Source organism: Homo sapiens, chromosome 13 (assembly GCF_000001405.40).
Source record: "Homo sapiens chromosome 13, GRCh38.p14 Primary Assembly".
NCBI lineage: Eukaryota > Metazoa > Chordata > Mammalia > Primates > Hominidae > Homo > Homo sapiens.
This window is the reverse complement of record NC_000013.11, coordinates 49,672,531-49,687,894: the sequence shown is the minus strand read 5'-3', so window position 1 is coordinate 49,687,894 and position 15,364 is coordinate 49,672,531. Positions and strand designations below refer to the sequence as shown.

The 15,364-nt window shown below is 45.2% G+C and overlaps 1 protein-coding gene across 4 annotated transcripts in view; it reads left to right on the top strand.

Annotated features, from left to right (window-relative positions):
* The window catches only part of EBPL (EBP like), a 30,814-nt gene that overhangs the window by 3,593 nt on the left and 11,857 nt on the right, over positions 1 to 15,364 (top strand). Inside the window, exon 2 of one of the 4 annotated variants that reach the window (NR_103802.1) lies at positions 1,300 to 1,420. The exons of the other annotated variants lie outside the window; for them this stretch is intronic. The gene's annotated coding sequence lies outside the window, so the exon portion shown is untranslated. The remainder of the gene's footprint in view (positions 1 to 1,299; positions 1,421 to 15,364) is intronic. 4 annotated transcript variants of the gene reach the window in all.

Below are 15,364 nucleotides of genomic sequence, written 5' to 3'. Positions count from 1 at the left end.
GATCTTCATAAAGATAATTTAGTGGTGATGTGTTAAGTCAGAAACTCTAGCGTCCGAGATTTTACCCAACTTAGAAGTTAACAAGGTAGTCCAGTTTGATTCCCCAAGGCCCAAACCCCACAGGACAACATAATGAAGGCCAGATGTTACTGCCTGTACATGCAGTGGGATGCGTTACAAGAAAGGAACTCCAGAACTACGCGTCCATCTTATTGTGAGCTGGTGGTGGCCTGTCCATACTTCTCTCTGGAGAGACCTTATCTTAGGAATGTAAACCTCTGAGGAGGAGAAGGTGAGGTCTTGATCTTTACCACCCTAGAACCTCTCTGGAGGGAGCTGTCTCCCAGGTTTACTACTCTGGAAAGGCTCATTATAGAAACATTCTTAAAATTGATATAAATGTCTTTGCTCAGAGACCCAGACAGTGCAGGATGTGAGATATTCATGGAGAATTGTCTCTCAACATGGTGCAGGTTGGATTGGAAAGGATGGAGTTGAGGGGCAAGAAGAGCAACAAAAAGCAACTGCTGTAGTGTGGGGAGTCATTTAAAAAAAAGAGAGAGGCAAGCTGAGGTGGTGTTGGAACTTAAAATGGGGAGGAAAGCTAACTGTGAGAGACTTTCCAGGGGAGAATGTGGTAAGTCAAAGTGGCCACTTGTAGATTGGGGGTGGACATGATCTTGGGGCTTAGGCCCTGAGCAACATGGGTAATGGTGATCATGTTAACTAAGACAGCAAAATCTGGCTTTAGAACTATGAGTCGGGGGTCCTCGTGTGCAGTTAAGAGAGAATAGTGCTGGGCAGTGGCTCACACCTGTAATAAGCACTTTGGGAGGCCGAGGCAGGATTGCTTGAGGCTAGGAGTTGCGAGACCAGCCTTGCTAACATAGTGAGGCCTTGCTAACATAGTGAAGCCTCATCTCTACGAAAAATTAGCTGGGTGTGGTGCTGCATGCCTGTGATCCCAGCTACTCAGAAGGCTGAAGTAGGAGGATCACTTGAACCCAGGAGATTGAGGCTGCAGTGAGATATGATTACGCCACTGCACTCCAGCCTAGGTGACAGAGTGAGACCCCATCTCAAAAAGAAGAGAGAGAGAATGGCCAGAAGGCAATTGAAAAATGTAAATTGAGTTGGAGAGACAGAGTCAGGGCAGAAGAGAGAGTGCTGGGAATTCTTTTCTGAGTTGGGGGAGATAGCACGAAGCCCCAGGTATGACTGCTTTTGCTGAGCTAGAGAGAACAGAAGGGTGAAAGAGCTGAGGAATAAGAGCAGAATCTTTTAAAATATCTATCCTAGGAGAGAGTGGGAAAGACCACGAACCAGGAGAGTGCTGGGGTCCTGGGATCCACAGAATGGAATTTCAAGAACACTGATAAATTGCTGTAGCACCATTAAAAAAAAAGAAAGAAAATAAAAGGTGAGGCACCTGGCAACCAGGAAGTCAATGGTGAGAGTGGGATTGATGGGAGGGAGGCTCCAGAAGCCAAAGGCTTATAGGCCAGGTAGAGGAGAAGCTGGGCAGTAGATGAAAGCCCTGCAGGAGGTTTGGTGGTGGGCGGAGGAAGAGCAGGAGGGTAGCTCCAGAGGCACCTCAGGGCAGGCTGGGGGCTCTTGGTTCTTTTGAAGATGAAGGTCTGGGCGAGAGGATGGCCGAAGAAGGGTAAAAGTGCAGACGCGGCAGGCAGCTCTCGCTGTCTGATGTGTGCTTGGCCATGGAGGTTGACCTGTTTCCTAATAAACCTCTGCCTGGTTGTTGCTTCCACACTTTTGTCATGGTGTAGTCTGATTAGCCTTGTCCTGCAGGGTGAAGCACAGCTGTCACAGAAAACCTGGGCCTTGGCTGGCTCTCCATGCATCCCACCTAACACCTGTGAATGGTTTTTCGTTGAGAAATCTTGAGGCCCAGTGGCTGTGCCACGCCCTCTCTGAAGCTGGGCATTACCCTTCTCCAGTTCACATCACCGTCTGTTCCTCACTGCCCACTGCCACAATTCCAGTCTCTAATTCTTGTCCCTTTTTTTTTTTTTCTCTCTCTCTCTCGCCCAGGCTGGAGTGCAGTAGCGTGATCTTGGCTCACTGCAACCTCTGCCTCCCAGATTCAAGCAATTCTTCTGCTTCAGCCTCCCGAGTAGCTGGTACTACAGGCACGTGCCACCATGCCCAGCTAATTTTTGTATTTTTAGTAGAGACACGGTTTCACCATGTTGGTCAGGCTGGTTTCGAACTCCTGACCTCGTGATCCGCCTGTCTCAGCCTCCCAAAGTGCTGAGATTACAGGCGTGAGCCACCATGACCAGCTGCCTTCAGTTTTCTTGAAGGAGGACTGCTTTGCTGTTTTGGTGCTAGGCTTTGGGACGAGATTCTGGGGCGTAGATCTTGGGATCCTCCTTCTATAGCCTGTTTTTCAATGGGGATGTTTGTCTTTTCCTTAATGATCTATAAAAGGTGTTCATATATTAGTACAAACAATTTCACCCACACTTTATTACGCTTTTGGGGAGAAAGGGCAAGAAAGTGTTGTCAGCCCCATTTATTGACTAATCCATTCTTTCCCCACTTATTTGAGATGCCAGCTTTATCATATACTAAAGTATTTTATATGTATGGATATGTTTGGGGATTTTTGAATTTAGTTCTGTTTCAGGAATCTTTTGGTTCCAGTTCTAGCCACTGTTTTAATAATTTCAGCACTATAATGTAGTTCAATATCTGATAAAGCAAACTTCTCCCCACTATTCTTTTTCAAACACTTTAAAATTATGATCTATCCTTCCAGATGTACTTTTAAATTCACTTTGCTGACCAGGTGCGTACAAAAATTAGCCAGGCGTGGTAGCATGCACCTGCAGTCCCAGCTATTCAGGAGGCTGAGGCAGGAGAATCGTTTGAGCCCCGGAGGCAGAGTTTGCAGTGAGCTGAGATCACACCACTGCACTCCAGCCTGGGCGACAGAGCAAGATCCTGTCTCAAAAATAAAAAATAATTTCACTTTGCCAAGTTCTAATACTCGGTATTTTGATTGTGGTTTTCTTAACTTTATAGATTAGTTTGAGATTAAATGATATCTTTATAATACAGTCTGCCTTCTAAGAACTGGGTAGGTCTCAATTTGTTTAAATCTTCTGTTACAGTCTCTTAAAGTTTATTTCAAAACATTTTATATTTTCATTGCTACTGTATTTCTCCTTTGTATTTTGTTTAATTTAATTTTATTTTTTGAGACAGTCTCACTCTGTTCGCCCAGGCTGGAGTGCAGTGGCGCGATCTCAGCTCGCCACAGCCTCTGCCTCCTGGGTTCAAGCAGTTCTCCTGCCTCAGCCTCCCAAATAGCTGGGATGACAGGCACGTGCCACCGTGCTCAGCTATTTTTAGTGTGTGTTTCTAGTAGAGATGGGGTTTCACCATGTTGCCCAGGCTGGTCTCAAACTCCTGGCCTCAAGTGATCCAGCTGCCTCGGCCTCCCGGAGTGCTGGGATTACAGGCATGAGCCACTACGCCTGGCCTCTCTCCTTTGTATTTGGACTGATTATTGTTATTATAGTGAAAGCTGTTGAGATATACCTATATTTGTATGGTTATCAGCCACTTTTCTAAATTCCCCTTTTCCTCCCTCCAGCTTTATTGTTATAATTTATGTATAATAAAACCCATTCTGTGTACAGTTTGGTGAATTTGGGTGATTGTGTAGAGTTGTGTAACCACCCTTGCAATCGTAGTATAGAACGTTTCCATCACGCTTCTAGTAAAAGTTTTCTCATGTCCCTTTGAAGATGATCCCAGTGCCCATCACCAGCCCCAACAAACACCCGTCTGCCTTCTGTCTTTAAAGTTTTGCTGTCCTATAATTTCATAAAAATGAAATCATACATACATAGTCTTCATTTAACGTAAGTTGCTGAGTAGTATTCCAGTCATGGATGTATTTCAATTCATTTATCCATTTATCAGTTAATGAACAAATGGGTTATTCCTAGTTTTTTACTATTACAAATAATGCTGCTAATAGATATCTGCATCCAAGTCTGTGTGGGCATATTTTTCTTTCTCCTAGGCCGAGGCCTTGGAATGGGATTCTTTCAGTTTAGTAGAAACTGCCATCCTGCTTTCCACGGCGGCTGTACTGTTGTGCATTCCCACTAGCATTGTGTGCGAGTTCCTGTTGCCCCACAGCCTCACCAAAACTTAGCATTTTTGTGTTTTTTACTTTTGTTTTTAGTCATTCTGATAGATGTATATGACTAAAACTTGTCACCCTCATACATGCCACAGGTTGCATTTTCAAATGCAGTACCAGATCGGGTGCAGTGGCTCAGGCTTGTTTTTTGTTTTTGTTTTTGTTTTTTTTGTTTGTTTGTTTGTTTTTGAGACAGAGTCTCGCTCTCTGGTCCAGGCTGGAGTGCAGTGGTGCGATCGGCTCACTGCAAGCTCCGCCTCCCGGGTTCACACCATTCTCCTGCCTCAGCCTCCCAAGTAGCTGGGACTATACAGGTGCCTGCCCCCATGCCCAGCTAATTTTTTTTGTATTTTTAGTAGAGACGAGGTTTCACCGTGTTAGCCAGGGATGGTCTCCATCTCCTGACCTCATGATCTGCCCGCCTCGGCCTCCCAAGGTGCTGGGATTACAGGCGTGAGCTCAGGCTTGTAATCTCAGCACTTTGGGAGGCTGAGGCGGGCGGATCACCTGAGGTTGGGAGTTCGAGACCAGCCTGGCCAACATGATGAAACCCCGTCTCTACTAAAAATGCAAAAAATTAGCCAGGCGTGGCAGTGCACACCTGTAATCCCAGCTACTTGGGAGGCTGAGGCGTGAGAATAGCTTGAACCTGGGAGGTGGAGGTTGCAGTGAGCCAAGATGGCGCCACTGCACTCCAGCCTGGGTGACAGAGGGAGACTCTAGCTCAATAAATTCATGGATGAATGAATGAAAGAATGAATGCAGTATCAGTTCCTAAACACGGTTCTAGGTGGAGTCTGACCATCATCCAAGGAGCCTGGGGCGGTGGGGGAAGGTGGAAAGAACAAGGGCCTTTGGGATGCAGCAGATGCACCCTTGAATGCCAGCTTTCCCGATGACCAGCTCAGAAACTTGGGCATGCCCCTTTCCCCTGCAAATCCTTTCTGTAATGAGGAGGAAAAGAAGGAAGGAAATTTTCTTAGTTTTCTTACCTGTGAAGTATGGAAATAATGTTTTCTTCAAACGGCTGTGAGAATTAAATAAAGCCTTATAACTTAGCGTAGTGCTTCTCAAGCTTGGCCATGCACACAAATCATCCAGGGATCATCCAAGATTCTGTATTGGTAACCAGCTCCCAAGTGAGTGCCAGGCTGTGGTTCATGAACCGTGTTTGAATGGCAAAGATGTAAGGCACCTGGCACTTGCCAGAGTTCAGTAAATGTAATTCTCTTCTCTGTCCTCTTAGTGTGAATCCTCCTTGCCATATTCCATACCCGGATTAGCATTTGTCATCCCATCCCTGTATACTAAAGTGATGATGTATATGTCCAATTAAGATGAGCCTTGGAAGGTTTCCTTTCACATCTTTAATCTGAGAAGTAACAACCTTCTGGCAGAGAAGGGTATATTCTTAAAAAGGGAGAAATATGATTCAAGTCCTAAATCAAACAGTATACTGCCATGTTGTAGGAACCATAGAACTCGTGTGACTGTTTGATCCTGGTAGTTCTGAAAGAGACCAGTGTGGTCTCCTGTGAATGTTAGGTGACAACTGGCTGCTGGGCAGGTTCAATCAAGTGGAAATCATCGTCTAATTAAGCGGGCAGCAGCTGGGCAGCATACATTTATGGAGTCATTAAAGCCTTGTCACCAAAGGACAGTAGGAGGCTGCCGCAGCTGATCCCTCCAGAAACAATGTTGTATGCTGTTGTCATGACATGCAAAAATCCAGTCTGATTAGGCTGAGGTTTTGTGAGTCAGATTTGCAAATGCTAATAAATGTTGACAGGATTTATGTACTGATTCTATTCCTGCTCCACTTCATTCTCTCACTCTTGAAAGTGAATGTTGCCATGTTTTCTCTAGGTCTTCATTCAAACATACAACAAAAAAACAGATACATTCAAATATAAACTCAGCCTCAGTATGTGTTCTTTTTATTTCTTTAAGGACTTTTTCTGCTAAATTTTTCTTTAAGGATTAAAATGAGTAAATTGAGCATGCTCTTTAAATTGGATATTATCAATGGAAATAGCTGGCATAACTTAATCATTTGTTTGATCTGAGCTTTGACTTATAGCTGTCTTTAAGTCTATAAAATACGTTGTTAAAACCCTTATATGCCTGGGCTGGGTGTGGTGGCTCACGCCTGTAATCCCTGCATTTTGGGAGGCTGAGGTGAGCAGATCACCTGAGGTCAGGAGTTCAAGACCAGCCTGGCCAACATGGTGAAAACCTGTCTCTACTAAAAATACCAAAATTAGCCAGGCGTGGTGGCGTGTGCCTGTAATCTCAGCTACTCAGGAGGCTGAGGCAGAAGAATTGCTTGAACCTGGGAGGCAGAGGTTGTAGTGAGCCGAGATCGCACCACTGCATTCCAGCCTGAGCGACAGAGCGAGACCATCTTAAAAAAAGAAAAAAATTTCATGCCTGGGACATCTTAAGAGAAAAATGAGACTGGCCTTTCTTTATTTGCTATAATACATTTTAATTTTTAAGCTGATTTTGTTAGCAGCTCAATTAAATATAGTTCAGTTATATTTTATAACATATGTCCAGTAGGAACTTTACTGTATTTTTTAAACCAAATTTTTTGATATACAGAACTTAAATAAGTATTATGAAATTTTCCTCATCACCCTCTGGGTTAATAATAGAAAAATTCATAGCAGGGAGAAAATATTTTAAATATTTATAACTGCTTATTAATATAAACCTGAAAAATTCTTGAAGGCTACCATGGAACTTAACAGTGGTCATCTCTGGGAAACGTGATTGGGAGTCAGGAGGGAGAGAGGCTTTTATCCTTTGCTTTGTACCTTTTTATAATTTTTTTTTAACTTTAACATGTATCACATATATTTTTTTTGTTTGTTTTGTATTTTGTTTTGTTTTTTGAGACGGAATCTCGCTCTGTCACCAGGCTGGAGTGCAATGGCACAATCTTGGCACACTGCAACCTCCGCCTCCCTGGTTCAAGCAATTCTCCTGCCTCAGCCTCCTGAGTAGCTGGGACTACAGTCGCGTGCCACCACGCGCAGCTAATTTTTGTATTTTTAGTAGAGTGGGGGTTTCACCATGATGGCCAGGATGGTCTCGATCTCCTGACATTGTGATCTGTCCACCTCGGCCTCCCAAAGTGCTGGGATTACAGGCATAAGCCTATGTATCTTTTTAAAATTAAGTTTTACAGTGAACAATTTCAAACATTCACAAATGTAGAGAGACTAGTACAGTATCAGTGAGCAGATTCAGCATTTTCAAGTTTTGCTGCACTTGCCCATCTGTCACTTTTTCTTCTGTTTTTGTCCTTCTCTCCCTCCCTTTTTCATTGTTACTGCTGAAGTACTGGAAAGTGATCTGGACCTCATGTCACTTTACGTTTATGTACTGAGTAAGTCTGTCTCTAAAAAGTCAGGTCTTCTTCAGGGACAGGTGCCTGCCTTTCATGTTATCATAGAAATGACAGTACAGGAGTCCTCGAAGACCTCATCATGTCCAGTCAGGGATCTACCCTGGTGGTCGCTGTGAGCTTGACTTCCCTGTGGCTCGTGGGTCTTGGCAGGTGTAGAACTCATGGCTCATGCCCACTGGAAGTGCTGGTGCTGAAGCAGGCCCCTCCCACCAACCTGGCCCTCTGCTGACAGACACTACCTGGGCCTCCGCTTAGGGTCCTCACCATCCTCTCAGTAAGCAACATGCATCTTCCAAGTGCTGTGCTCAAGGCTGGAAATTGGTGAGCGACTCTGTCAAAAGGTGGAGATGCAGATCCAGCCTGCCTCTCCTTATTACTTATTCATTCACTAGACATATATTGACTAATATATATATATAGCTTGACTCTATTTTTTTCTTGGTTAGGAAATTTAAGCCCGGAGAGGTGAAAGTAGCCATGAATGTCAGAAATACAATCTCGGCCAGGCATGGTGGCTCACACCTGTAATCCTGGCACTTTGGGAAGCTGAGGGAGGAGGCGCTTGAGCCAAGGAGTTCTAGACCAACCTCAACCACATAACGAGACCCCGTCTCTACAATTAAAAAAAGAAAAATCAGCCTGGCATGATGGTGCACACCTATGGTCCCAGCTACTTTGGAGGCTGAGACAGGAGGATTGCTTGAACCCAGGAGTCTGAGAGGCTGCAGTGAGCCGTGATAACACCACTGGATTCCAGCCTGGGTGACAGAACAAGAAAAAAAGAAAGAAATACAATCTGTTGTACTTGCTTTTGCTCAAGCTTAACCATATCACGCCTGACACCTAGTGGAGCCCTGCCTTCCCAATTACAGCAACATCCTGCATGTGGCCCTTTGCTGTTGACCAGGCACCTTTCATCTGATCCTTAGATCCTCAGTGCTTGTTGAGCTCAAACATGAATCTTAGTTCCAGATGGCTGGATCTCTATCATACGTTGTGGTTAAAGACTTTGGAGCTGATAACCTTCCATGTTTATTTGGTTATTTAACATAAACTTCATGCCCCAGAGTCTAAAAACAATTTTAAGGGAGAAGAAAGAAAGTACTGTACAGTTCATTTAATATAAAGCATGAATTCACAGGAGGAACTATAACTGTCTCCATTCTCTACAATTCCACAGATAATTTTGGTGCCTGGCAAATAGTAAGTAGTGTTTTCAGTGGCTTTGATCTTCGGTCTTTGTGTGGTTAGAGCAGATTTTATTCAAAAGCCCCTGAATAGTCTTTTTTTTTTTTTAGACGGAGTCTCACTCTGTCACCCAGGCACAGACACACACGATCTTGACTCACTGCAACCTCCGCCTGCCAGGTTCAGGCGATTCTTGTGCCTCAGCCTCCTGAGTAGCTGGGAATACAGGCGCGTGCCACCCATGCCTGACTAATTTTTATTTTTTTGTATTTTTTAATATTGAGAGGTGACAACGTGCTAACAGGCCTCACTCGCTCTCGGTGCCTCCTCAGCCTCGGCATCCACTCTGGCCATGCTTGAGGAGCCCTTCAGCCCGCGGCTGCACTGTGGGAGCCCCTCTCTGGGCTGGCCGCGGCCAGAGCGGCTCCCTTTGCTTGTGGAGAGGTGTGGAGGGAGAGGCGCCGGCGAGAACCCGGGCTGCGCACGGCGCTCCCGGGCAGAGTTCTGGGTGGGCGCTGGCTTGGTGGGTGCTGCCGGCCCCAGTTAAGGAGGGGCTTAGCACCCGGGCCAGCAGCTGTGGAGGGTGAGCTGGGTTCCCCATCACTGCTGGCCCGTCCGCGCTGCGCTCGAATTCTCGCCGGGCCTGAGCCGCTTCCCCACGGGGCAGGGCTCGGAACTTGCAGCCCGCCATGCCCGAGCCGGCACCACCCCCGCTCCTGAAGGGCACTGCCCCCTGCTCCGCAGCGACCTGTCCGATTGACCGCCCAAGGGCTGAGGAGTGCCGGCGCGCGGCGCAGGACTGGCGGGTAGCTCTGCCCACGGCCCTGGTGCGGGATCCACTAGGGGAAGCCAGCTGGGCTTCTGAGTCCAGTGGGGACTTGGAGAACTGTTGTGTCTAGCTAAAGGATTGTAAATGTACTAATCAGCATTCTGTGTCTAGCTCAAGGTTCGTAAACGCACCAAACAGCACCCTGTCAAAACGGACCAATCAGCTCTCTGTAAAATGGACCAATCAGCAGGATGTGGGTGGGGTCAGATAAGGGAATAAAAGCAGGCTGCCCAAGCCAGCCCCGGCAACCGGCTTGGGTCCCCTTCCACGCTGTGGAGTCTTTGTTCTTTAGCTCTTTGCAATAAATTTTGCTGCTGCTCAGTCTTTGGGTCCGCATTGCCTTTGTGAGCTGTAACACTGCGAAGGTCTGCAGCTTCACTCCTGAGGCCAGTGAGACCACGAACCCACCAGAAGGAGCAAACTTCTGACACACCATCTTTAAGAACTAACACTCACCGCGAGGGTCCACGGCTTCATTCTTGAAGTCATTGAGACCAAGAACCCACCAATTCCAGACACAATATTTGTATTTTGTGTTTTTAGTAGAGAAGGAGTTTCACTGTTGGCCAGGCTGATCTTGAACTCCTGACCTCAGGTGATCTGCTTGCCCCAGCCTCCCAAAGTGCTGGGATTACAGGCGTGAGCCATCACGTCCAGCCCTTACAATCTTTAAAACCATAATAGCAGGTCTCATTCTGAAGCTGGGGCCTCTGCCTCCCACACCTAGTTTGTTTGTTTTTGCATGGCGTCTTTATTGATGAGAATCAGCTGTGGATGGTGCAGCCTAAAGTGGTGGGCCTGTGTTTGCTGATTTATATTTGTGAGTTCTGTTAGGGTAAGAGCCAGCCAGTCTCAGAATCACAGAATGTTCAGAGATGTCACTTGGAACTCTGATATTGGCAGGCTCACCTCCTTTTCACCATGTGCTTTTTCTGACTTTGATCTGAATGACCTTCCTGGGGTGGGATGCAGCAGGATTGACGTGGGCTGCAGTGGGAGTGGACAAGTGTGATGATACAGGGAAGGGATACCAGCTCTTAGCATTGTTTCAGGGAAGAATCAGGGAGTTGCTACTGGTGTATTACCTACTTCATGAAGAAAAGACAAGTGTTTGTTGGTCTATTTGGCTTCCTTTTTACATAAAACACAAGGGCAGTGTCCTCATGTAGAACCACTGCCCCTTCCCGGAAAAGGATGACCTGCTATTTAGACAGTGCCAGTGCACACTGACCCACCAGACCTGCCCATGTCTGCAATGGTCCTATTTTTTAAATCAAACGAGAGCATTTTTTTAATATACTGAATGTTTCAACAAAGGACTTTTGCAAGTCACACCTCTGGACCCATGTCATCTCTGCTATCACTAAAAAAAAATTAGGAAGGACTAAGGAATTAGGTGGCCCGGCTAATACCACATGATTCAGGGATAGCTGTGGAAAGTCTGGAGAATCAGCCTGGGATTATCTATAAAATCTCACTGTATGTGTATTTGGTGTTTATTGCATGTAATCAACCTTGCCCCGCCCTTAAGGAGCTTTAATAGTAGGGAAAGCAGAGAGGGAAACAAATCATTGTCATGCAGTCTGGTGAGTGATAAGACTGTCCAGGCCTAGAGGTGGCACCGAGGAAGGAAGGATTCACCGGGGTTTCTTTCTTATTTATTTATTTATTTATTTATTTATTTTATTTTTTTTGAGACATAGTCTTGCTCTGTCGCCCAGGCTGGAGTGCAGTGGTATGATCTGGGCTCACTGGAAGCTCCGCCTCCCGGGTTCACACCATTCTCCTGCCTCAGCCTCCCCAGCAGCTGGGACTACAGGTGCCCGCCACCACGCCCGGCTAATTTTTTTGTATTTTTAGTAGAGACGGGGTTTCGCCGTGTTAACCAGGATGGTCTCGATCTCCTGACCTTGTGGTCCGTCCGCCTCAGCCTCCCAAAGTGCTGGGATTACAGGCGTGAGCCACTGCACCCGGCCTCACTAGGGTTTTAAAGACCGAAGAGGAGGTTACCAGGCAGCAGGGGAGGGGGGCTCAAGATTCACTGCAGACCCCTTGCCCTCATGATGAGTGGGCAGATCTTGTTCTCAGATTCTTATGAAAATGGCCCCTGCTCTGCTTTACCAAATGCTTTGAGAATTATTGGTTCATCTTGCCCATGGGGCAGTCTAGCCCAGTGGTTTCAAATTCCAAGTGATGATATCTCCATTTTAAAACTTACATTCTTAACAATTAAAAAAAACCTCAAAGGTAGGCAAAGGATTTGAATAGAAATTCCTCCAAAGAGCTCAATATGTACATGAAAATATGTTCAGCATCACTAGTCAGTCATTAGGGGAAATGCAAATCAAAACCACAGTGAGATACTCCTTCACACCCGTTAGGATGAGTACTATTAAAAAAAAAAAAACAATAACAACAAAGGAAAATAACAAGTGTTGGCCAAGAATGTGGAGAAGTTTGAACTGTGGTGCACTGTTGGTGGGAATGCAAAATGGTGCCAGCGCTGCAGAAAGCAGTGTGGGAACTCCTCAGAAAGCTGAACATTTATCTTAAGATCCAGCAATTCCACTTCTACATATACACCCAAAGGAATTGAAACCAGGCACTCCAACAGATCCTTGCAAACCAGTGTTCATAGCAGCAGACTTATGAGCCACAATAACCCCAAAATGGAAACAACATAAATGTCCACCAGCAAATGAATAAACAAAATGCAGTGCCTGCATACAGTGGAATATTATTCAGCCTTAAAAAGAAACGAAATTCTGACACATGCTACAACATGGATGAACCTAGAAGACACTATGCTAAGTGAAATAACCCAGACATGAAAGGACAAATACAGTCATCACTGCATAAGGACATTTCAGTCAATAAGGGACTGAATATACCATGGTTGTCCCATAAGATTATGATGGAGCTGAAAAATTCCTATTGTCTAGAGACATCATAGCTGTCATAATGTTGTAGTGCAGTGCATTACCTTTTCTGTGTTTAGGTGCACAAATACCATTGTGTTATAATTTCCTACAGTATTCAGTACAGTAATGCCGTACAGGTTTGTAACGCAGGAGCAAAAGGCTATCCATATAGCCTACGTGTGAGGTAAGTGTTACACAACCTAGGTTTGTGTGAATACACTCTATGATGTCCACACAATGACAAAACTGTCTAATGATGCATTTCTCAGAGCGTATCACCGTTGTGAGGCTTAGCATGACTGGTCTCATTTCACTTACACGAGGTACCTAAAATACATTCATAGATGCACAAAATAGAGTGCTGGGTGTTGGGCTGAGAGAGGGAAGAAATGGAGAATCAGTGTTTAGTGGGCACATTGTTTTAGTTTTAGAAGATGAAGAGTTCTGGAAATGGATGGTGGCGATGGTTGCACACATTGTTAATGTACACAGTACCCCTGAGCACTACTGTTTGTGCCACAGGGCTGAGCAGGGCAAAAGCTGGACCCACGGGCCTCACACCATCCTCTGGGCTCCATCCCTGTCCTCCTACCTCTCAGCCTGCCTCCCTCTGAAATTTTTCCTCACTGCCTCAGCTACAGCTCCCTCATCTTCCTCCATCCTTTATTGAATTGGAAGTCATTGTTATCCAACTAGACAATAAGCTCTCTGAGGCCAGAGCCTGGCCTATTCTAAATTTTTTTTTTTAAGTCCTGACAGTTGCCAAAAAAAAAAAAAGCCCATTCATTTAGTCATGGTACTCTTTCTCCCATGTCTTTCTCTGTTTCTTTAATTAACTTTTTATTTTGAGGTAATTGTAGATTCACATACAGTTGTAAGAAATAATACAGAGGTCCCTTGTTTACTTTTCCCAGGTTTCCACGATGCTAACATTTTGGTGGGTTTTTAAAAAATTATTTTCAGCCAGGTGCAGTGGCTCACACTTGTAATCCCAGCACTTTGGGAGGCCAAGGCAGGTGGATCACCTGAGGTCAGGAGTTCAAGACCAGCCTGGCCAACATGGCGAAACCCCATCTCTACTAAAAATACAAAAAATTAGCCAGGCATGGTGGCGGGCACCTGTAACCCCAGCTACTTGGGAGGCTGAGGCAGGAGAATTGCTTGAACCCAGGAGGCGGAGGTTGAATGAGCCAAGGTCGCACCACTGCACTCCTGCCTGGGGAGCAAGACTCTGTCTAAAAAAAGAAAAAGTTATTTTCTATTTTGATAATTTTGGTACCAAAAATTTTGTAAAACTATAGTATAATATAACCATCATATGGACATTGATACAGTCCACTGATCTTTTTCAGACTGTCAGTTTCTTTGTGTGGTGTGTGTGTGTGTGTGTGTGTGTGTGTGTATTAAGTTCCATATAATTGTATCAACTGGGTAGATTCATATATCAACCACAACAGCCCAGGTATTGAATAGTTCCAGCACTAACAAGGATCCCTAGTGTTTTCCTTTTATAACTACACATCCCCCCACCCCACACCTCCATCCCTTAACCCCTGGCAACCACTAACAATGTCCTCCATTTCTAAAATCTATCATTTCAGAAAAATGTTATATAAATGTAACCACAGGGTTGGCCATGGTGGCTCAAGCCTGTAATCCCAGCACTTGGGGAGGCTGAGGCGAGTGGATCGCTTGAGGTCAGGAGTTCGAGACCAGCCTGGCCAACATGGTGAAACCCCATCTCTACTAAAAATACAAAAATTAGGTGGGCGTGGTGGTGCATTCCTGTAATCCCAGCTACTTGGGAGGCTAAGGCAAGAGAATCCCTTAACATGGGAGGTGGAGGTTGCAGTGAGCCAAGATCGAGCCACTGCACTCCTGCCTGGGCAACAGAGTGAAACTGTGTCTCAAAAAATAAATACAGAAATAAAAATAAATGTAACCATTATGTAAGCTTTTGGGATTGGCTTTTTGAAGGACATCAGTTTTTAGTTACCACAAATAAAGCTGCTATGAACATTCGTGTAGTTGTTTTTGTATAAAGATGATAAGTTTTTATTTTTCTGGGAGAAATACCCAACTGTGGAATTGCTGGGTCGTATGGTCATTGCATATTTAGTTTTAGAAGAAACTGCCAAACTCTGGTTTTTTTTAGTGGCTGTATCGCTTCTATCCCTTCAGAAATCTGTGTTTGTTTCAGTTTTTCCACATCCTCACCAGTATTCGATGTTGCCAGTATTTTTTTATGTTGCCACTATTTTTTATTTTAGCCTTTCTTTTCCTTTCCTTTCCTTTTCTTTCTTTTTGAGACACAGTTTCACTCTGTCGCCAAGGTTGGAGTGCAGTGGCACAATCACGGCTCACTGCAATCTCTGCCTCCCGGTTCAAGCGATTCTCCTGCCTCAGCCTCCTAAGTAGCCGGGACTCCAGGCACACACCACCACACCCGGCTAATTGTTTTGTATTATTAGTAGAGGTGGGGTTTCACCATGTTGGCCAGGCTGGTCTCAAACTCCTGACCTCGTGATTCGCCCGCCCAGGCCTCCCAAAGTGCTGGGATTACAGGCGTGAACCACCACACCCAACCTTATTTTAGCCATTCTGATAGTTTATACAGTCATACCTCACTGTGGCTTGAAGGTGTGTTTCCTTGGTGGCTAATGAGGTTGAACATCTTTCCATGTGCTTATTTGCCATCTTTATGTACTTTCCGGTGAGATGTCTATTCATTTCTTTTGCCCATCTTCTAACCAGATTATTATTATTGTTATTATTATTTTTAACTGTCTTGTTTTCTATTATCCCTTTTATTTCTTACTCTTTTAGGAAACGCT